At 35.3% G+C, this 22,817-nt stretch overlaps 1 protein-coding gene across 14 annotated transcripts in view; it reads left to right on the forward strand.

The window, feature by feature from the left end:
- Positions 1-16,798, forward strand: part of RAD21L1 (RAD21 cohesin complex component like 1) — a 29,833-nt gene extending 13,035 nt beyond the window's left edge. For 5 of the 14 annotated variants that reach the window (XM_006723603.3, XM_006723602.3, XM_011529317.3 and 2 more), the window contains 8 exons: positions 234-329; positions 1,243-1,356; positions 3,541-3,791; positions 4,019-4,118; positions 4,968-5,092; positions 7,132-7,227; positions 9,548-9,625; positions 15,191-16,798. In XM_006723603.3, coding sequence (XP_006723666.1) covers positions 234-329; positions 1,243-1,356; positions 3,541-3,791; positions 4,019-4,118; positions 4,968-5,092; positions 7,132-7,227; positions 9,548-9,625; positions 15,191-15,379 — 1,049 coding nt within the window. In that variant the 3' untranslated portion in view covers positions 15,380-16,798. Of the gene's footprint in view, positions 1-233; positions 330-1,242; positions 1,357-2,781; positions 3,024-3,540; positions 3,792-4,018; positions 4,119-4,967; positions 5,093-7,131; positions 7,228-9,547; positions 9,626-15,190 lie in introns of those variants that run through there. The other 9 variants (XM_047440371.1, NM_001384355.1, NM_001384358.1 and 6 more) reach the window with 5 other exon arrangements.
- Positions 16,799-22,817: the final 6,019 nt, after the last annotated feature.

The following is a 22,817-nucleotide window of genomic DNA, read 5'->3' on the forward strand; positions in this document are numbered from 1 at the left end:
AGCTTCCCAATGTGCTGGGATTATAGGAGTGAGCCACTGCGCCCAGCCAAAATGCACGTTTTAAAGATTATTTATTGGCTGTTCCTATCAAATCTTTTTTAAAATTCTCTAGTTCACATTAAAGATCTGGTTATTCCTTTACAATGAAATGCATAAAGTAACATTAATAAATGTTTAGTGAACAAATGACAGATTCCAGTCTGTATGAAAAAATATTCATTGTGTTTTTCAAGACAATCTATTGCAAGATGATCAGAATATCCTGTTAGAAGACATGCATTTGAACAGAGAAATTTCCCTGCCTTCTGAGCCTCCCAATAGTTTAGCAGGTAGGTTGAAATTTTCCTTTATGAGAAAGTAATGGGTTACTAATGTTTAAGCCTCAGAACTTCTGAATTTAAGTAGCAATATAGTATAGTGAAAGATAAAGAACAATGTCTTTCAGACTCTGTTAGTCTGACTGTAGACAATATAAAATAGGAAATTGGATTCTGATAAAGGTACACTGAAGGGTATTTAGCCAGGATTGGGCTTAGCATGAGAGAACTCTGCCAATATATTGTGCTTTTTGAATTATTAAAATAGTATATGGTAAATGGTAAGAAAATTTATTAACTAGTATGGTTTGATAATCTACATACAATTTGAGAGAAATTACAAATTGAGGATATTTTCCCTATTTGAAATTCATACGGAAGTACCTCAGATGATTTGAGGTATTTTAGTCTGATTTTTCTTAAGAATTAAAAGTACAATTAGCCCCATTTTTTATTTGCCACAATTTTTGATGTTATATTTGCTTTCTAAAAACAACAGTAGAAACTGAAAATACAAAGAGCTAAAAGTAATAAAATTTTACTTATGGTTTTTTATGGATCAACTGATAAGTGATTTAACAGAATAGAATTTTTTTTTAGCAGACATATAGTCAAATTGTTATCAGTCATTTACTGTAGTTGCTGCCACTGTTTTCACATCTGCTGTGACTTTAGCCCACCCTTAGATGTCTCATGTGCAAAAGGGGATGATGATACTTGACTCACTCGAATACTGTGGGTCCCACACCATATAATCTGTAAGCCTCTTCAGCTCTATTAAATAAATGGTTCTAAGAATTCAGATGTTCCAGTTAGTAATATAAATCTTCAGTTAGTTTATCTTTATCTTTAATTCTCATACAGTCCTCTAGCCTGCATCCTAACTGGTTTTTTTTACAATTACTTTTATGTGGATGTTGATTAGTTGAACCAGATAACTCAGAGTGTATATGTGTACCTGAAAATGAAAAAATGAATGAAACAATATTATTATCAACTGAAGAGGAAGGATTTACCCTTGATCCAATTGATATTTCAGGTCAGAGGCATTTACGGTTTTGTTTTAATTTTTAATACACTGTTAACTTATTTACTTTGAGATGTTTGAATAATCACTGAAATATTATAGGAGATAGTCAATCTAGTAATAGCACTTGTAACACAATAGAGGAGAAGACGGTGAAGAAAATTTTAGATGATCCTTTTGAGGTAGGAAGCGGGACTCAACTCCAGAATTGGGGGTTGGACACCGGACCAGATGAGGACTAGTTACAAGGTGGGTGGGGGGAGCTTTCAATCACACCCACCCACCAGTGTGCCATGTCAATTTACTGCTGCCATGGCAACACCGGGAATTCACCCTTTTCCATGGTGATGACCCAATGATTCCTACTCCTTCCCTGCATAAACCAGCCCCCTTAATCTGCATACAATTAAAAGTGGGTATAAATATGACTGCAAAACTGCCCTGAGCTGCTAGTCTGGGCCTGCTGAGTAGCCCTGCTCTGCAGCAGCAGTTACGGTGCTAGAGCTGTAACACCACCAGAGGTGTAACACTGCCTATTCAATAAAGCTGTTTTCTTCTACCTCTGACTTGCCCTTGAATTCTTTTCCTGGACAAAGCCAAGAACCCAGATGGGCTAAGCTCCACTCTGGGGCTCATTTGTCCTGTACCTCTGTATCACTTGCATTATATTCAGTCCTGTTCAAACCATGTATCCAGTTTGGGAAACTGAAAAATTTTAAACTAAGTTCAATTTAGGAAGGTATTGAGCCATTACTCTGTAGTGGGCACGGGAATAAAGAAGACACACACTTTTTACTTTTAAGAAGCTTAGAAAACAATCTAGTCAGGAAGATAAATAGTCATGCAAGTGAATATAATATAAGGCAGAATAAAAAGATCAGAGGAGAGGCGAATGCCTTCTAGCATTTAACTTCAAGCATCATATTTTTAGGGATAAGTAGTAAGTATGAATCTAATATATCTAATGTAACTACTAGTCTAATATAACTAATATAACTAGGTCATTTAGAAACATCCTAGTTGTAGGTAGTATAATTGATATGAATTTCAGTTTATAAACTCAGGCATGCAAACAGTAAAGCATTTTTTTTTTAACTGAATTCACCACTGAGCCTCTATCTCACTAGGCTGGCAGGAAATTCAATCTGTGTAGCTTCCCTGTCTTATTTCCACCATGTAGTTCCAAAGTTTGGGGGAGGGGTATGGAAGGTGGAAGGGAACCTCTGGTTATCAGCTATACCAATCTGTGGTTCCCAGGGCTCCAGCTTACATAGCCTTGGGGATCATCACATAGCCAACCTCTCCAGTATCTTGTCTTGTTCCTGGGATTTTACTGAGGCACATCAGCCAGCAAGCAGGTTCCTGTACATTTTGGCTCCATTTGATCTTGGATCTTTATCAATCCTGAGAAATCTAACCCTCTCTCCCCTTTTACAGCTTTACTAAAGAAAAGCTTGACTTCTGCTTTCTGCCTGGTAAAATTCCCTGGTGGAGTGAAATCCTATGGACCTAGTTACCTGCTTGGAATGTCTATGAATTTCAGTGGGAGAGGGAAAAATACACTGGACAAATACAAATGAGTGTTGTAGAAAGTTATTCTATTACATAAGCATTTTAAGGAACCTCCAAATTGGTGGACTTCCCTCTTCCCCACCTTTCCTCAGTTGCTCACTTAACAGGTAGATCCCTTTCTAAGCACTTCCAAGCAACACCTTACAAAATGTATCAGCTATTGGTTGCTCAGCATAATTTTCAGAGGGGAGAAGGGATTTTCTTTCCAATGCAACACTGTAGGTTGTACTGTGGTAGAAATTTCTTTTCTCTTTTGGAGATAGGGTCTTGCTCTGTTGCCCAGTCTGGAGTGTAGTGATGTGGTCTCAGCTCACTTCAACCTCTGCCACTCAGGCTCAAGGGATCCACCCATCTCAGCCTCCTGAGTAGCTGGGTCTACAGGTGCGTGCTACCATGTGTGGCTAATTTTTGTATTTTTTGTAGAGACGGGGTTTAGCCATGTTGCCCAGGCTGGTCTTGAACTCCTGGGCCCAAGCAATCCGCCCACCTCAGCCTCTTGAAGTGCTAGGATTACAGGCATGAGCCACCGTGCCTGGCTTAGAAATTTCTTAAGTATTTAGTGCCTACAATATGATTTTAGAAAGCTGTATAACCAATCACATTTGTGCTATTTCTTATATTTAGACATTGCTGAGAAAAGGAAAGGCAAAAAGAGGAGATTGCTCATAGATCCTATCAAGGAGCTCAGTAGCAAAGTTATACATAAACAGCTTACTTCCTTTGCGGACACACTCATGGTTTTGGAACTTGCACCTCCTACCCAAAGATTGATGATGTGGAAGAAGAGGGGAGGAGTGCATACACTTCTGTCAACTGCTGCCCAGGATTTGATTCATGCTGAACTGAAAATGGTAACGGTTCCTACCCTTCTACATGTGAGCAATGTCTGGTTATAAATAAATAATAAATAAATAAATAAACACATATTTACATACATATATAACAGAATTTAAACTTGCGAAGAAGTACTTCCTCATTTTGAATTAATTTTCTGTATTGTGTGTATGAATTATAGTTTTTCCTTTTTAGATATGTGCTTGTGTTTTCTTGAATTGCTTTGCTGGTACAAAAACAAAAAAAACAAAAATGTGTATTTTTACAGTTGTTTACAAAATGCTTTCTGTCCTCTGGCTTTAAACTTGGAAGAAAAATGATACAGAAGGAGTCAGTAAGGGAAGAAGTGGGAAACCAAAATATAGTAGGTGAGACTTCTTAATTCTGTTGATGTTGAGGGGAATGCTGTGGAAACAAAAATTTGATGTTTTAAATTTCAAAATGAAGGTGGGATCCAATTCCATATTCTCAAGTATAAATGCTAACTCTGGAAGAGTAGTGGAACTTAAATGAAATTATTACCTCGGTATTGCATTTTTCTGCATTTTGGATTAATTTTTGTCCCAGAGATTTCGTTAAAAAGATGAAATATATATACTATGTAAACCATTCTTATTATCACTCTTTCTACCTCCTTCACTCCCAAAGGCATACTCAAAAATCCTCAAAAAAGAAAATCTTTATATCTAGCAAGATAAAGTTTCAATGTAAAACAACTAACATGAAAAGTCATGTAAGGATAAGAACAGCACTTAATACACTTAACCTGACGCAGATATTTCTGTCTACCCAAAAGGCACATGGAGTATTAATAATCACTGATTATTATCATGATAATTATAAAGTGATAATAAAACCAATTGATGTGATGAGTGAGCTTCCACTTCCTGATCACCCTTCCTGAAGGCATTAAAACCTGCTGAACAATATACCACAATGGGCTTGAACTGTCCATGTTGTCTTGTGAGTGAATGTGTGAGAGCGTGTGTAGAGGAGATGGTTGGCAGAGAATGGGGAGTGGAGGTGATAGAGACAGAGGACAAGAAAGGGAAGATACATATGTGAGACTTGGGAGCAATAAGAAAGTTTGTGTATCCTTTGCTTAAATTCTTGGATCCCAACATGTCTGTCAGAAGTTTTCTTTTGTTACAACCATATCACAATTCAAGTTTGAAAGATATTTTGGTGAAATTGTCTTTATTTCCTTGATAATTCAGAGACATCCATGATGCAAGAGCCAAATTACCAGCAAGAGTTAAGTAAACCCCAAACTTGGAAGGATGTGATTGGTGGATCTCAGCATAGCTCTCATGAGGATACCAATAAAAATATTAACTCTGAGGTAAGTTATCCAGAGAGAATCGTAAAAATATTTTATTTTCTACAGATACAGTAAAGGAATGTTGGGACTCTGGTATATTTTCTTACATTTGTGTAGTTCATATTTCATTTTAAATTGTTTTGCAATTTGTTTAGTAAGTAGCAGGGTAAAACATGATTTTCTTCTGCAGAATTTTTCTAGGAGTTTAGGATGTAAATTGCAAGATAAGGTGGTTTCATACCAAGCTAGTATTTTGCATGATACGTTAAATCAATGATTGTCTCTATGTAAACCTAGTTATATGCTGAGAATCCTACTAGGCCTCATATTCTTTGTGTCATGGAATGTTTTAGAACTGCAGCCAGTATGCCTAAGTTTTGCTTTTCATCATAAATTCACCCAAGTATCTCTAAGAATAATATATTTTAGACCCACCAATTCCTTGGCCTTGAATCTGAAAGACTATCTAAAGATCTATGACCAAAACAAAATTTTAAAAACTTTTTAAGATATAATTTTTTATTTGAAAAATATTACTATTTGAAAACACAATTGGAAATAATGTACTTTGAAATATTTTCTCAGTTGTTATTTTATTGGTTGTACAAATATAAATATTATAGCCACACCAGTTAAAAATAAACCAGTGTTTTTATGGTCTGTTCCATTATCACTGTATTTTGATAACCACTCAGGGAATTCAAAGTCAACCCATGTTGAAACTGAATGCCCTTGGAAGGAAAGACAATTTCACAGTGCATTCAAACAGAATGTATTTTACTAAATATTTGATAATATACTGGATATTGAGACACTGGGTTGCTAGTACTACTCTCTCCCTCACTTGGGCTCAGGCATTTGTTAAAGTGTACCTACCGAAAATTATGATTAGGCAAACCTGTTTAGTTTATGATTTTTTGGAAGGAAAATACAACTGCAGTTATCACAGATATAACAAGATAGATTGTCCCATGGGCTTGAAGTAGAGAGAAGAGAGATCGATGTACCAGTTCTTTTGAACCTTTACTCCTTTACCTTATGCTTATGCTTTAAACCTTCAATACTCCTCTTATTCTGCTTCCAAAAATGGTTAACAAATGTGAAATATAGTCAAGCATGGGAGCACAAGAACAATAAGGGACAAGAGAATATTGATTCTGATGAATCATTTTCAAATCTTCATAAAACAGAATTTTTATATACCATACCTGCAAAATTGAGAGTATCAAAAATGTAGAATACTCATAGAAATTGAAAGAGAAAAACAAGGCTTCACAAATATGTATATTAAATAATAAAATGTAACTCCTTATGTTTACTAAAATTTTTTAAAGCTGAGTGAAAAAGCAAGTAAACTATCTTAGAGGAGGCCCTTAATCAAGATTGAGGAGGACAGCTGGGGAATGAAGCTTGGAGACAGGTTGAAGATGAAAAGAGGTTGATAGCTTCTATAGCAATGAGAAGGGAAGGAGATGATAGGGACTAGGAAATCTCTGTCTCTTTTTCTTTCTTCCTTTATGTCTTCACTCCCCTTCCAACAGACAGGTTCTTCTTCCCTTTTGCCCGTGACAGCTCCAGCAGTGGTGGCAGGAATCCTGTCATGGTCCTCGGTAGGGATATTAATATCCCTTTCCTCACTCTCACTCCCTCTCTGCTTGCTTATTGCAGATCTCTTTCCTCTGCCACCTGGTATTGGCATGAGAATAGAGGTAGGGGAGTGGGGCTATATAAAATGCTTCAAAGCAAAGTGGTCTCAGTAGCACAGCAGTAGAGACTTTTAATGTGAGGTCTGCAGTAGAGAGGGAAATAGGAAAAGGATAGGAAGCAAGGAGGGAAGGGGCATGCAAGTTCTTCCTTTATGGGAGGCATATGGAAAATTGTAACATTTAAGTCAAAGACTGCCTATCTGGGGTATTTCAGAGATAATATTTTGAGAATGTGGGTAGTATTTTAAATTAGTTTGAGAAGTGAGCATTCATGTGATTAAAGCATTTAATAAAATTAGATTGTTCCTGTATAACCACTGGCAGATTTACCTAACTTTCCCTAATTTGCTTCAGCAGGATATTGTTGAAATGGTGTCTTTAGCTGCTGAGGAATCATCTTTAATGAATGACTTATTTGCACAAGAAATTGAATATAGTCCAGTTGAATTGGTAAATATATGTGTAGTCTTGGGGATGTTCTTAAAAACTTTATTCCTAAATATTTAACACCTTATTTATCTAAAACTTGGCTTTTATAGCTGTCATGTTACTTTCTAAATTTATAATTTAAATTTGTGATTACAACAGAGATGTTTGTGAATAGTTTGATAAAATATTCTGAATTGCTCTGATTTTTTTGTCTTTCTTTAATTTCTTTTGAAACTTCAAATACTTTTAAGGGAAAGTGTGAGGTTTTTGTGCTTATCAAAAGTAGTGACAGGATTTTAAATGTTGAGAATCACTGTTTTAAATTATTGATATAACATCTCTAAAGAAACAGAACTATATTAAGAGTATGGCCTAGGGCATTTGAAATTTTATCTTATTTACAAAAAACTTGTGGGCAATTTTTCCTTTAACATTATGTGGCACAAGGCTTGTATCTATACAAGGCTTCTGGAAATCTGAAACAAAATAATCTGGTAGTCAGAGGGCCACATGTCAATAGCAAAGACAGAAGTAAAGTCTGATTTCCCTGACTCCCTGCTTATTAACTGTCTTATTTCTCTGGTATTATCCCAGCATACTGAAAACATTTTTAAGATTGTAAGGAATTTTAGTAAAAGTTTTTTAGTAAATAATATAAAAACACCTAGTAAGCCTGATGTTAATTTGCTTCTATAAAATTATCTATATATTGAGTTCCAAGACTCTTTGATTGTTTTTCATACAAGGAAAAGAGACCAAATTCTCTAGATAATCTAGGACAGAATAAATTACCTGAACTTTTTACCTGAAGTATCCAAACAGCTGAGCCAGAAGTGGGTTAGTTCATTTTTGCTATTCGCTGTGCTTCTGTAGATGCAGGTTATTTTCATACATGGTCAAGCAAACCACAACATAGCACAAGTTCAGCTGTTTTAATAATCCACTGGGCTTTTTACACAATAGATTCAGCTGTAGGGTGTCCAGATAGATCAAGTGGACAGGCTTTAGCAGAATGCACAGAGTATTTCTTCTGAGCCTTTCTCTGGTTAGTTTAGTTGTGCATTATAGATGAAGCTAGAGTCTCATGGATCTTTAACAAAGAGGTTTTTACATTTCAAAAACTGCATTTGTTTATTTAACAATAAAATAAACATTAATAAGTGGGTGTCCTCATTTATCCAAGGAGAGACCAGAAAAGAATAATCATAAATTGTAGCTGAAGGGATTTAGAAAACTCTCTAGAATAAAGTGACCGTATTTTCAAATCAGTCTTTTTGGAATATAAGAAAGCATACAGCATAGGCAGGCCTAGGAAGCTGGTATAGTTGGTGGAAATGGGGACTCAGTAGCTCCCAGGCTTAGTCAAAGAGTCCCTTTAGCCTCACATGATTTAAAATGTCATGCAGAATATTCTGGTGCTTTCTGTAATTGTCTTGGAGTCTATGAAATTGAAAGCACTTTTAGGAAGTGTCTGGGCTCCTATACATGAAGGCTAGACAGACAGTGGACATGAGGTGAGAGTGACATAGATGCTGTTGGGCTGCATAGTCAGAATTAGCTTAGGAAAAATTATGAAGTAGGCCAGGTTTGTGCCACTTCCCTTCCCCCAACCCTTTGTAAGCCTACTCTTTTATCAGATTCATGAACACCTTTCATATGCTCAGTTTCTGTTCTCACATCATAAGGTGTTAGTTTGTAAGGGATTAGAATACCATTTTTAAATATTGAGGTATTTCTGAAAGTGGTTAAGCCTTAAATACCAAAAAAAAAAAAAAAAAAAAAAAGAATCTATTTAGATAACATGACAGACATGTCCAAGGCACAGATGCCTTGGACAAGGCATCTCGAAATCTGAAAGATTTCTAACCCAATTGTACACAAACTACTAGACAGCAGTTATGTTTAGAGCTTCCATTACCAGATAAGTTCAGATAAAGGCCTTTACAAGACAGAAATAGCTGTATGTTTACTCCTGTCAACTGAGTTCAGATTGACCAGAACTAGGATAACCCTAGGCAAAAGTTGTTGTCTTTGCTAATTTTGCTTTTCAAAGTAACCGTAAGACCCTGGACACATTAACAAATAAAGATGGCAGAATCTCCTATTTTGGAGCCTCTTATCAGAAGAGACCCTGGAGAGTACAGGTGTAATTGTGCAAAGGTGGTTTATATTTGTATGTTAGCCTTATTCTTTTTATAAATAATAAAGATTATAAGCTCTTTATTTGGCAGGACCCATTGTAATAATTGTGTTTCTTGTAGAAGCTAACACTATGATGGGCAAATAGTCAGCATTTAGTAAAATTTGCTTAAATTAAATATTTTATCTATCATTCAAACAGGAGTCATTGAGCAATGAAGAAAATATTGAGACAGAGAGATGGAATGGAAGAATACTTCAGATGTTAAATCGTTTACGGGTGAGATGCTAGGGTTTGTCAACCCTGTTTTTATTTTAAAAAATAAGTAAATACTGACTTCAAGCTTCCATATATTAATGAAAACGCAATAATTTTCCTTATTTTTTTGAGGCCAAATCCCACTAGAGTGCAATGATTTTCAGTAGTATACCCAGGGCTAAATATAGAAGTTTGGATTTGGTGCCTGCATATTCTAATCAACTTCTTACCCACACTAATACCCTTAGATATCCATTCTGTGTCCCATCCTCGTTTTTAGCATGATACCAACTAATTCTCAATATGAAACTTAGTTTATAGCAGTTCAAGAGTGACAACTCAGGTAATTTTTGAATTTAATTTATATTTTTATCAAAATAATACATGTATATTATTTTAAAAGCTCAATAGCACCATGCAATAAGGCTGAAAAGACAGAAAGGCCTTTGTCCTACCTCTCCTTATCCCTAAGTCCTGCTCACCAGAAGCAACTACATTAAGCTGTTTCTTTTAGTATTTATATCTATATTCTTAATAAACATGCTTTTAGTGCTCTTTCTTGGTATTTCAGCTTTAAACTATATCTACTGAATTCTTTTGACAGAAAACAAAAGTTTAACTTAGTTACCTTCCCCTCCCTAGTATACTTTTAGCATAGTGTTATGTGTTTACAGTGTTATATTTGTAATAGTTATGATGCAGGTTTGATTGCGACAGGGAGCCAAAATATTAGTGGCTTAAAAAAGACAGAAGTTTATTTATCTGTCAGGTAAAAGTTCAATCTGGTATGGCAGCTATGCTCACAAAGTTGTCAGGGACCCAGGTTTCCTTTGTCTTCTCAAGATCCAAAATGGCTAACTACCCACCAGGTCTGTACTCCAATCAGTAACAAAATTTCCTTTAAGAGTACAACCCAGAAATTGTATCACTTTTTACACTTCATTGACCAGTACTTAGTCACATTGACGCATCTAGCTGGGAAATGTAGTCTTTATTTGGTAAGCTTAGTCCCAACTAATAATTCTGTTACTATAGAAGAAGAGAATGGAAATTAAAGGACAACTAGCAGCTGCTGCCATAAAGACTAAATAAAAATTAGTTACATTGAAGCTTCATAGCATAATTACATTTCTTGTCAACTTTATGGTTGTTTTGTCATTACCTCATTTTTTTTCTTTTTTTTATTATTATACTTTAAGTTCTAGGGTACATGTGCACAACGTGCAGGTTTGTTACATATGTATACATGCGCCATGTTGGTGTGCTGCACCCATTAACTCGTCATTTACATTAGGTATATCTCCTAATGCTATCCCTCCCCCCTCCCCCGACCCCATGACAGGCCCCGGTGTGTGTTGTTCGCCTTCTTGTGTCCAAGTGTTCTCATTGTTCAATTCCCACCTACGAGTGAGAACATGTGGTGTTTGGTTTTTTGTCCTTGCCATAGGTTGCTGAGAATGATGGTTTCCAGCTTCATCCGTGTCCCTACAAAGGACATGAACTCATCCTTTTTTATGGCTGCATAGTATTCCATGGTGTATATGTGCCACATTTTCTTTCTTTTTTTTTCTTTTTTTCTTTTTTATTATACTATGAGTTTTAGGGTACATGTGCACAACGTGCAGGTTTGTTACATATGTATACATGTGCCATGTTGGTGTGCTGCACCCATTAACTCATCATTTAGATTAGGTATAGCTCCTAATGCTATCCCTCCCGCTGTGTCCAAGTGTTCTCATTTTTCAATTCCCACCTGTGAGTGAGAACATGCAGTGTTTGGTTTTTTGTCCTTGTGATAGTTTGCTGAGAATGATGGTTTCCAGCTTCATCCATGTCCCTACAAAGACATGAACTCATCCTTTTTTATGGCTGCATAGTATTCCATGGTGTATATATGCCACATTTTCTTAATCCAGTCTATCATTGATGGACATTTGGGTTGGTTCCAAGTCTTTGCTATTGTGAATAGTGCCACAATAAACATATATGTGCATGTGTCTTTATAGCAGCATGATTTATAATCCTTTACTTCATTTTTTTATTTGCTCAGTGTCTATAAACCCATTTTAATTATTTTTCCAAACTCAGACAATATGACCAAACTCTGACAAAAATACCATTTTTATGGTTTTGTAATATTTTATAATATCTCTTATCAAATGATCCATCAGTTCCATTTTTTTTCCTTAAAGGTATCTCTCTGGGAGCTCACCATCCTCTTGTTCTGATCCAAACCAGCGGCTGTTTAGGTCTGCTCCATAGTTTTTGTCTTGGGATATTGCTTTGTCATAAACATGGGAATTTGTCTCTTTCCTGTATATATTATTTCCTCTGTGGTTTTGGGTGCTTTGATCTTTCTTTATCTTAAATTTTTTAGTGGTTAACATCCTTTCATAATTTCCTGAGATAAAGAGTTCACGAGAGATACAGACCCTCCATACCAGCGTGAGCGTTTCTTTTACCTTTAACGTGATTGATTGTCTCTAGATGTAAGTTGAAAATATATTTCTCTCAGATGTTGAAGGCTTTGTAACATTGCCAAGATTCTTGTGATGTTATTGAAAGGTCAGATATTGCCTTAGTTGGTGATCCTTTGTAAGTAACCTTTATTTTCTCTCTGGAAGCTTTTGATCTATTATTGTTATTATTATTATCCCGGGCACTCTGGAATTTCATGATGTGCTTTGGTTTTTTTTTTTTCCACTTATTGTCTTTACCATGTAGTGTGTTCTTTTATACAGAAATTTCATGTTCCTGAGTTTTAGAAAATTTTTAAAAATTTCTTGGACTTTCTCCTTATTATTGTTATTTTTTAAAGTTTTTCATAGAGTCAAGGTCCCACTGTGTTGCTCAGGCTGGTTTCAAACTCCTGGCCTCAGTTTCCTTTTTATTTATGTTTTGTCTTCCTGAAGGGCCAGTGGGTCAGATGTTGGATCTCCTGAACTACTCCTTTAATTTTAATAACATCTTTTATCCTCTATATTAATTTCTTTGTATTTGTGTTTTTCTACCCTCTAGATTTCTTCAACTTTGTCTTCTAGACTTTACTGAATTTTTATATCTGCTTTCACCTTTTTGTTTTCCAGGAGTTTTTTTTCTTGGTTACTAACTATTCTTTTATTTTATAGCATCATAATATTTTTATTTAATTATTCAATTAGGTTTCTAAAGCAGCTTTGTTGAGATATGATTAACATGCAGTAAACTATTTATATTTAAAGTATGCATTATATAAGTCTTGACATATGTGTACAACTGTAAAACCTTCACCACAATCAAGGAGTAAACATATATCAAACCAGAAAAACTTTCCTTGTGCCCCTTTTGAATCCCTCATTTGCATACCTCCAACTGGCACCCCCATTCCCAAGCAACCACTGATCTGCTTCCTCTCACTGTTATCCTAGCCATTTTTCATGGGTACAATGAAAAACTTCTTAACTTCAGAGGTTGCACTTCTGCTCCCTGCATTATCTTTCCTTAGTGATTTTCTTGAATGTATTCCTTTTTGCTCTTTAATATTAGAGATTTTACTCAAATGTCTTGTAGATCCTAGGATTATCTGCTTTTATTTAAGATAGAGACACCAAAAAACTGACTGGAAGTTATATACGCATGAGTAGGGGTTGTAGACTTATGGTCTTTATACTGAGGTAATTGGGTGGCACCTCTCACCTTCCCTAGATTGTATTATATAACTGGGTTTTGTTCTCCCTTAGAATAGTCATCTTTTCCAGAATAATCTTTAAGTCTACTGCCTAGGAGATATAAGCATGATGCCAGTGGCTCAGGAACCAAAAGGAGGTAAAGGAGAGGCTGGTTATCTCACTGTTCAGAGTGTAGAATTTCCCTTAATCCCACTGTTTGTGGTATGACACTTCACCATCCACAGCACTAGTGCCCTAAGTTCAAAGCCTCAATGCTTGTTATCTCCAGAAGGGCAACTTCACGCCTTCTGCTGTGTGAGTAGCGGTCTCCGCTACTGTTCCTAAGTAGATTCTCAAGGAATTCTCCTGTTTTCAGCTTCATCCCTCTCCCCAGTTTATGACACACTGATGTCTCCAATTCCTGAGCTTTTCCTAGGTACTGTGTCTCACTCAAATCAGCTTGCTTTTTGCTGGCTTCCCCCCTGCCAGCACTTAGGGTTCAGTTGTCTCTACTCTACTAAGTCAGTTATGTCTTCCACTTTCTTTGTCTTTATCTCCTTCGTCACTTTTTCTTCCTTTACCTTCATTTCAGAAGGGTTTCTGAAGGGAACACAAATAAACGCTTATGTTTAATCTTGCATATTTGTCCCTTTAGGGTTTTTCAAAATAATTCTTGAAATTGAAAAAACTGTCCTTATTCTCTCCCAGGGGGGAAAAGCCATCCAGTTCTCATCTTTTCTCTCAAGGCAGGGAATAAATGTAGGCTGGATATGCCATCTTTGAAAGGTTACTGAACCTGGGCCACGCCTTTGGTTAAGATAAAGTATGACAAAGTATTTAATTTATTAATTTGTTGACTGTTATGGACAAGCAAAACCTTGTATGTGGTATTTCTAAATAAGCTTCACAACTATCCAGCGTGTATGATTCTCATAGGGACATTGGCCAGTATTCACTGCAGTACTTCTTTTCTTTTTTTCTTTTTTTGTGACAGGGTATCACTGTCACCCAGGCCAGAGTGCAGTGGCATGATCTCGGCTCACTGCAACCTCATCCTCCTGGTTTCAAGCGATTCTTCTGCCTCAGCCTCCCGAATAGCTGGGATTAGAGGCGCGTGCCACCATGCCCAGCTAATTTTTGTATTTTTAGTACAGACAAGGTTTCACCATGTTTGCCAGACTGGTCTCGAACTCTTGACTGCAAGCGATCTGCCCTCCTCGGCCTCCCAAAGTGCTGGGATTACAGGCGTGAGCCACCACGCCTGGCCGCACTGCAGTATTTCTAACTAAAAAATTACACTTCTACTCTAGGACTCTGATTCCAAATCCTAGTCTTCATGAAAAGAGTTATCTTCATCCATAATTAAAATACTTTATTGTACCTCAGTTATTTTCAGTAGGTACACAGATGTCATGTGGTGAATCCGACATCTTTTTAATCTGTGCAAAGAAATTGGGAGTTGTTTACATAGTCATAATCCCCTGACACTGAAACTGGAGTTGTTTATAGTCAACACCAACACTATAGTACCTTTAAGTAGAAGAAGACTGATAGGCTGATCATTTTCATTGTATTTGAAGCCTCCCAAAGTCCTGTGGATTTTTTTGTCTCTGCAAATATAGACTAATTGCCCTTTCCACTGGAGCCATTTATGTTAACATCAATTTTAAAAAGGCCTATCATTTGTATAACACATTATAAATTTATATAACACTTCGGAATTCTTTTGCATGCATGTTCTTCACGAACCAAGCTTGTGTACAGTAACTTGTGTTGTTTTTATGTTTACTAAGGAGTCATTTCCCTTTTTCCATTTAAGGATTTTATAGTCATTTATCCAAAATGTCAATATTTTGTTGTTTATTACGCATTTATAGCCGGCTTTACTTCTAATGATCTTGTTTCCCATTTCTTTTTTCTTTTCTAATTATTTTCCCAGGAATCTAACAAGATGGGAATGCAGTCCTTTAGTCTGATGAAGCTCTGTAGAAATAGTGACCGAAAACAAGCAGCTGCCAAATTTTATAGCTTTCTTGTCCTAAAGAAACAGCTGGCTATTGAGCTGAGCCAGAGTGCTCCCTATGCAGATATTATAGCTACGATGGGACCAATGTTTTATAACATATGAAGGAAACCCAGACATACAGATTTATGGCATCACTGGAATTTCTGTGTAGATTGTTCAATTTAATGCAGAAGCCATCTGGAAGCAGCTGAAGGTCTGATCCATTTCATAGATAGGCTGACCTACTTCCTCTCTGTAGTTCAGAATAATCATAGCTAGAATTGGAAACCTACATGCTTACAAAGAAATACTTTAAATTCTGTTTTGTTTTTTTTTGTTGTTTTTTTAAGGACAAAGGTCTCACTATATTGCCCAGGCTGGACTTGAACTCTGGGTTCAAGTGATTCTCCTGCCTCAGCCTCCTGAATAGCTGGGACTACAGGCACATGCCACCATACCTGGCTCAGAAATACTTAATTATAGCTAAGTAATTATTTTTAACTTAGCTGATTTGAATATATAGCATTTATCATTTCCCTGATTTGAATGTTGCACTTAGCATACATTTAGCATGCATTTTTAAAATGCTGTATGTTTTTGACAGACATTCAAAGATGTTTCTTAAAAGGCTATTTTACATTGGAGTATTTACTTGAATTTTATGGGGTTAATGAAAACATCATTATTTCTACACAGACTATTTGGTTGCAACGTATATCATACTTGATTTGACATAATGCCATGGTTTTTAATCCAATATTTTAATTGAAGAGTTACAAAGCTCATCTTTGCTTTAAATTGCCTGAGTGGGTTTTAGTCTATTTATAGGTCACTTAACTTTTTTATTTACTATTTAATGATTATTATAATCACCATTAATGTGTCAGCAAAACTAAATCTGCTTCTTATGTTTAAAAAAATTAGCAGACACTTGTTCCTCATGTTGTTTGCAGCTACGGTCTGAGTAAAGATCACCAAAATAAATGTTCTTTTGTTTGGTGTTTACTGAACATTTTTGACATTAAAACTGTTGTTTTCCTTTTTTCTTAATTGAAGTTTGAGTTAGGACATTTTCATATGATGCTCTGTGAGCTCCATCATACACTGTCAAATGAAGCCTATGGTACTCATTAAAATGTTGTTATATCTGGAATTATGCTGCAAACAACAAATTCTAAATAGCCTCTCTAAATGTGTTAACTATAAATTTTAAATGGCAAAATTGCCTTTTTAAAATTTCTTTTATTTTTTAAATTAACATACAGAAAATTTGACTTCTTAATTTTGGTGCACAGTTCTGTGAATTTTAACATATTTGTAGAGTCCTGTAACCATCTCCACAATTAGGATTCCAGCAGTAACATCACCCTAAAAAATTCTGTTATCCCTTTGTAGTAACCCCCTTCCCCCATATAACATCTGGCAACCACTCTTCTCCATGACTACACTTTTGTCTTTTTGAAAATGTCACACAGATGGAATCATATAGCATGTAAGCTTTCGATACGGGCTTCTTTCACTCATAAATGTCTTTGAGACTTATCAAGTGCTTGCATGTGTCAGTGCTTTGTTCCTGTTTATTGCTGAGTAATATCCTGTTGCCTAGATATACCATAGTTTATCCATTTACCCACTGAAAGATGTTAAGTTGTTTCCAGTTTTGACAATTATTAATAGAGCTTCATACATTTGTGTACATTTTTGTCTGGATATAAGTTTTTATTTGTCTAGGGTAAATATCTAGAAATGGGATTGCTGGGCCATATAGCAAGTATATGTTTAACTTTATAAGAAATTACAAAATTATTTTCCAGAGTGGATGTACCATTTTGCATTCCCAGTAACCATGTAAGAGAGTTCCAGTTGATTTTTTGTTTACTTGTTATTTTGAGATAATTGTAGATTCACCTGCAGTTGTGAGAAATAATACAGAGATCCCATATATCAGTTTACCTCAGTGGTAACATCTTGCATAACTTTAATATAATACACAACTAGGAAATTGGCATTGACACTATCCACCCAGCTTATTCAGACATCACAGTTTTACATGCACTTATTTTGTGTATGTATTAATTCTATGCAAATTTATCGCATGTGTAGGTCTGTGTGGGCACCACCATAGTCAAGAAACAAAACAGTTCCATCACAAGGATCACTTGTGCTACCCTTTGTTAGCCACAGCCATCTCCCTCCTTACTGTCCTCCCTGGCTCCTGAAACCCACTAACCTGTTCTCCATCTCTATAATTTTGTCATTAATACAGTTAATTTTTATAGATTAATCTTGTATCCTATGACCTTGCTAAACTCAAAAATTAGTTCCAGGTGTTTTTATTTTACATAAATGGAATTGAACAATGTTTTGCCTTTTTTTTTTTTTACCCAAGCTGGAGTTGCAGTGGCACGATCTTGGCTCACTGCAGCATCGACCTCCCAGGTTCAAGCAATTCTCCTGCCTCAGCCTCCTGAGTAACTGGGATTACAGGGGCATGCCACCATGCCCAGCTAATGTTTTTGTATTTTTAGTAGAGATGGGGTTTCACCATGTTGGCCAGGCTAGACTCGAACTCCTGACCTCAAATGATCCACCTGCCTTGGCCTCCCAAAGTGCTGGGATTACAGGTGTGAGCCACCACTCCTGGCAATGTTTTGCCTTTTGTATCTGGTCCTTTCACCTAGTATAAAAGTTTCAGGTTTTATCCATGTTTTAGAATGTATCTTTACATCATTCCTTTTTATGGCCAAATAATATTCCATTGTATGGATATACCATATTTTGTTTATCCACTCATCAGCTGATGGACATGTTGATTGTTTCCACTTTTTAACTACTATGAATAATGCTGCTATCAACATTAGTATATAAGTTTTTGTGTATATAAGTTTTGATTTTTCTTGGTTATATACCTAGGCATGGAATTGCCAGGTCATGTGATAACTTTATGTTTAACTTTTTGAGGAGCTGTCAAACTGTTTTCCAAAGTAGCTGCACTATTGTACATTTCTACCAGCAATATATCAGAGTTCCAATTTCTTAATATCCTTGACAATACTTGTTATTTTCCTTTTTAAAAATTATAGCCATCCTAGTGAGTATCTCATGGTTTTGATTTGCATTTTCCTAATGACTAATTATGTTGAATATCCTTTCATGGGGATTTCCTAATAGTTTATTAAGGATTTTTGCATCTGATATTGGTCTGTATTTTTCTTTTACTGTCTTTTTCTGGTTTTGATATCAGGGTTATACTGGCCTCATAAAATAACTTAGAAAGTGTTTCTTCATATTCTATTCTTCTACAATAGATTGTGTATATTTGTGTTATTTCTTCTTGAAATAGTTGATAGAATTCACCCATAAACAATGTGGATCTGGATATTTATATTTTGTAAAGTTTTTTTAACCATGAATTTAATTTTTTAGTTGTAGGACTATTCAGTTACCTATTTCATTTTGAATGAGTTTGGGTAGTTTCTTATTTTAAGTAATTGGTCTATTTCATCTACTTTTGTGAGTTTATGTGTGTAGAATTGTTCAGAGTATTCCCTTATTATCCTTTTAATGTCTGTGGGGTCCATAGTAATAACCCCTCTTTCATTTCAGACATTGTTAATATGTTTTCTCTTTTCAGTTGTGCTAGAGGCTTATTAATTTTATTGATCTTTTAAAAGATTTTCTCTTTTGTTTTTCTGCTTTCTGTTTCATTTCATTTATTCCTGCTTTTACATTTATTATTATTGTCCTTTGGCTTGCTTTGGGCTTATTTTGCTCTTTCTAGTTTTATTAAGGTGGAGGCTTAGATAACTGATTTGAGATCTTCCCTCTTTTCTAACATAAACACATAAAGCTCTGTTTCCTTCTAGGTAACTGATTTGAGATCTTTCCTCTTTTCTAATATAAACACGTAAAGCTCTGTTTCCTTCTAGGTAACTGGTTTGAGATCTTCCCTCTTTTCTAATATAAACACATAAAGCTCTGTTTCCTTCTAGGTAACTGATTTGAGATCTTCCCTCTTTTCTAATATAAACACATAAAGCTCTGTTTCCTTCTAGGTAACTGATTTGGGGTCTTCCCTCTTTTCTAATATAAACACATAAAGCTCTGTTTCCTTCTAGGTAACTGATTTGAGATCTTCCCTCTTTTCTAATATAAACACATAAAGCTCTGTTTCCTTCTAGGTAACTGATTTGAGATCTTCCCTCTTTTCTAATACAAACACATAAAGCTCTGTTTCCTTCTAGGTAACTGGTTTGGGATCTTCCCTCTTTTCTAATACAAACACATAAAGCTCTGTTTCCTTCTAGGTAACTGATTTGGGATCTTCCCTCTTTTCTAATACAAACACATAAAGCTCTGTTTCCTTCTAGGTAACTGATTTGGGATCTTCCCTCTTTTCTAATATAAACACATAAAGCTCTGTTTCCTTCTAGGTAACTGGTTTGAGATCTTCCCTCTTTTCTAATATAAACACATAAAGCTCTGCTTCTTGGTAACTGATTTGGTATCTTCCCTCTTTTCTAATATAAACACATAAAGCTCTTGTTTCCTTCTTGGTAACTGGTTTGAGATCTTCCCTCTTTTATAATATAAACACATAAAGCTCTGTTTCCTTCTAGGTAACTGATTTGGGATCATCCCTCTTTTCTAATATAAACACATAAAGCTCTGTTTCCTTCTTGGTAACTGATTTGGGATCTTCCCTCTTTTCTAATATAAACACATAAAGCTCTGTTTCCTTCTAGGTAACTGATTTGAGATCTTCCCTCTTTTCTAATATAAACACATAAAGCTCTGTTTCCTTCTAGGTAACTGATTTGGGATCTTCCCTCTTTTCTAATATAAACACATAAAGCTCTGTTTCCTTCTAGGTAACTGGTTTGAGATCTTCCCTCTTTTCTAATATAAACACATAAAGCTCTGCTTCTTGGTAACTGATTTGGTATCTTCCCTCTTTTCTAATATAAACACATAAAGCTCTGTTTCCTTCTTGGTAACTGGTTTGAGATCTTCCCTCTTTTATAATATAAACACATAAAGCTCTGTTTCCTTCTAGGTAACTGATTTGGGATCATCCCTCTTTTCTAATATAAACACATAAAGCTCTGTTTCCTTCTTGGTAACTGATTTGGGATCTTCCCTCTTTTCTAATATAAACACATAAAGCTCTGTTTCCTTCTAGGTAACTGATTTGAGATCTTCCCTCTTTTCTAATATAAACACATAAAGCTCTGTTTCCTTCTAGGTAACTGATTTGAGATCTTCCCTCTTTTCTAATATAAACACATAAAGCTCTGTTTCCTTCTAGGTAACTGATTTGAGATCTTCCCTCTTTTCTAATATAAACACATAAAGCTCTGTTTCCTTCTAGGTAACTGGTTTGAGATCTTCCCTCTTTTCTAATATAAACACATAAAGCTCTGTTTCCTTCTAGGTAACTGGTTTGAGATCTTCCCTCTTTTCTAATATAAACACATAAAGCTCTGTTTCCTTCTAGGTAACTGGTTTGAGATCTTCCCTCTTTTCTAATATAAACACATAAAGCTCTGTTTCCTTCTAGGTAACTGGTTTGAGATCTTCCCTCTTTTCTAATATAAACACATAAAGCTCTGTTTCCTTCTAGGTAACTGATTTGGGATCTTCCCTCTTTTCTAGTATAAACACATAAAGCTCTGTTTCCTTCTAGGTAACTGATTTGAGATCTTCGCTCTTTTCTAATATAAACACATAAAGCTCTGTTTCCTTCTAGGTAACTGATTTGAGATCTTCCCTCTTTTCTAATATAAACACATAAAGCTCTGCTTCTTGGTAACTGATTTGGTATCTTCCCTCTTTTCTAATAGAAACACATAAAGCTCTGTTTCCTTCTAGGTAACTGGTTTGAGATCTTCCCTCTTTTCTAATATAAACACATAAAGCTCTGTTTCCTTCTAGGCAACTGATTTGAGATCTTCCCTCTTTTCTAATATAAACACATAAAGCTCTGTTTCCTTCTAGGTAACTGATTTGGGGTCTTTCCTCTTTTCTAATATAAACACATAAAGCTCTGTTTCCTTCTAGGTAACTGGTTTGAGATCTTCCCTCTTTTCTAATATAAACACATAAAGCTCTGTTTCCTTCTTGGCACTGCTTTAGCTGCATCACACAGATACTTATACGTTGTATCTTCACTTTTGTTCTGTTAAAAATATTTTCTAATTTCCCTTGAGACTTGCAGGTCTTTTACCTGCAAATTATTTGGAGGTATAGGATGTTCAGTTTCGAAGGGATATTTCCAGTAATTGATTTTGAGTTTAATTCCATTATGGTAAGAGAACATACTTTAAATGATTTCAATTATTTCAGATTCATTAAGATTTATTTTATGACCCTATACTAAGTTGAAAATTTGTGTATACATTTTGACTCCCCAAAAACTTAACTACTAATAGCCTACTGTTGACCAGAAGTCTTACCTATAACATAAACAGTCAATTAGCACATGTGTTGTATATGTATTATATACTATATTCTTACAATAAAGCAAGCTAGAGAAAAGAAAATGTTATTAAGAAAATCATAAGGAAGATAAATATATTTTCTATTCATTAAGTGGAAGTGGATCAACATAAAGGTCTTCATCTTCATGGTCTTCACACTGAGTAGGCTGAGGAGGAGAAGGAGGAAGAGGAGTTAGTGTTGCTGTCTCGGAGATGGCAGAGTCAGAAGAAAATCCACATGGAAATGGACACACACAGTTCAAAGCTGTGTTGTTCAAGGATCAATTCTGTTCTGCATTTGTTAGGTGGAGTGTTCTATAAATGTCAGTTGGACCTAGTTAGTTCATAGTGTTGTTTAGTTCTTCTACATCCTTGTTTATTTTGTCTACTAGTTCTATCAATTACTGAGAAAAAGTGTTTGTGTCTCCAGCTATAATTGTGGATCTGTTTATTTCTCTTTTCCATTCTGTCAGTTTTTGCTTTATATATTTTGAAGTTCTTTTATTAGGTTATATACATTTATAATTATTACATCTTCTTGGTGAAATGACCCTTTTATTATTTTATAATAATTCTCTTTATTCCTGGTAATATTTTTTGCTCTGTAGTCTACTTTTTCTAATATTAATATAGTTATTCCAGCTTTCCTTTGATAAGTATTTGTATGGTATATCTTTTTTTATCTTTTACTTTTAGCCTACCTATATCATTCATTATAGTTAAAGTGAATTTCTTATAGACTGCATCAAATAAAGTCATTTTTTTATCCATTCGGATAACCTCTGTTTTAATTGAAGTGTTTAGATCACTTATATTTAATGTAATTATTGACATTTTTGGATTTCAGATTTTATTTATTTAGGATTTTTGGATTTTATTTTATTTTTTTTACTGTTTGTTCCCTTTATTTTTTATTCCTCTGTTTTCCCCTTTCTTGTCTTCTTTTGGAATATTTGGAATTCCATTTTTATTTCTTCTTCTTCTTTTTTTTTTTTTTTGACAGAGTCTCACTCTGTTGCCCAGGCTGGAGTACAGAGGTGCAGTCTTAGCTCACTGCAACCTCTCCCTCCTGGATTCAAGCA

This window comes from Homo sapiens, chromosome 20, assembly GCF_000001405.40.
Source record: "Homo sapiens chromosome 20, GRCh38.p14 Primary Assembly".
Taxonomy (NCBI): domain Eukaryota; kingdom Metazoa; phylum Chordata; class Mammalia; order Primates; family Hominidae; genus Homo; species Homo sapiens.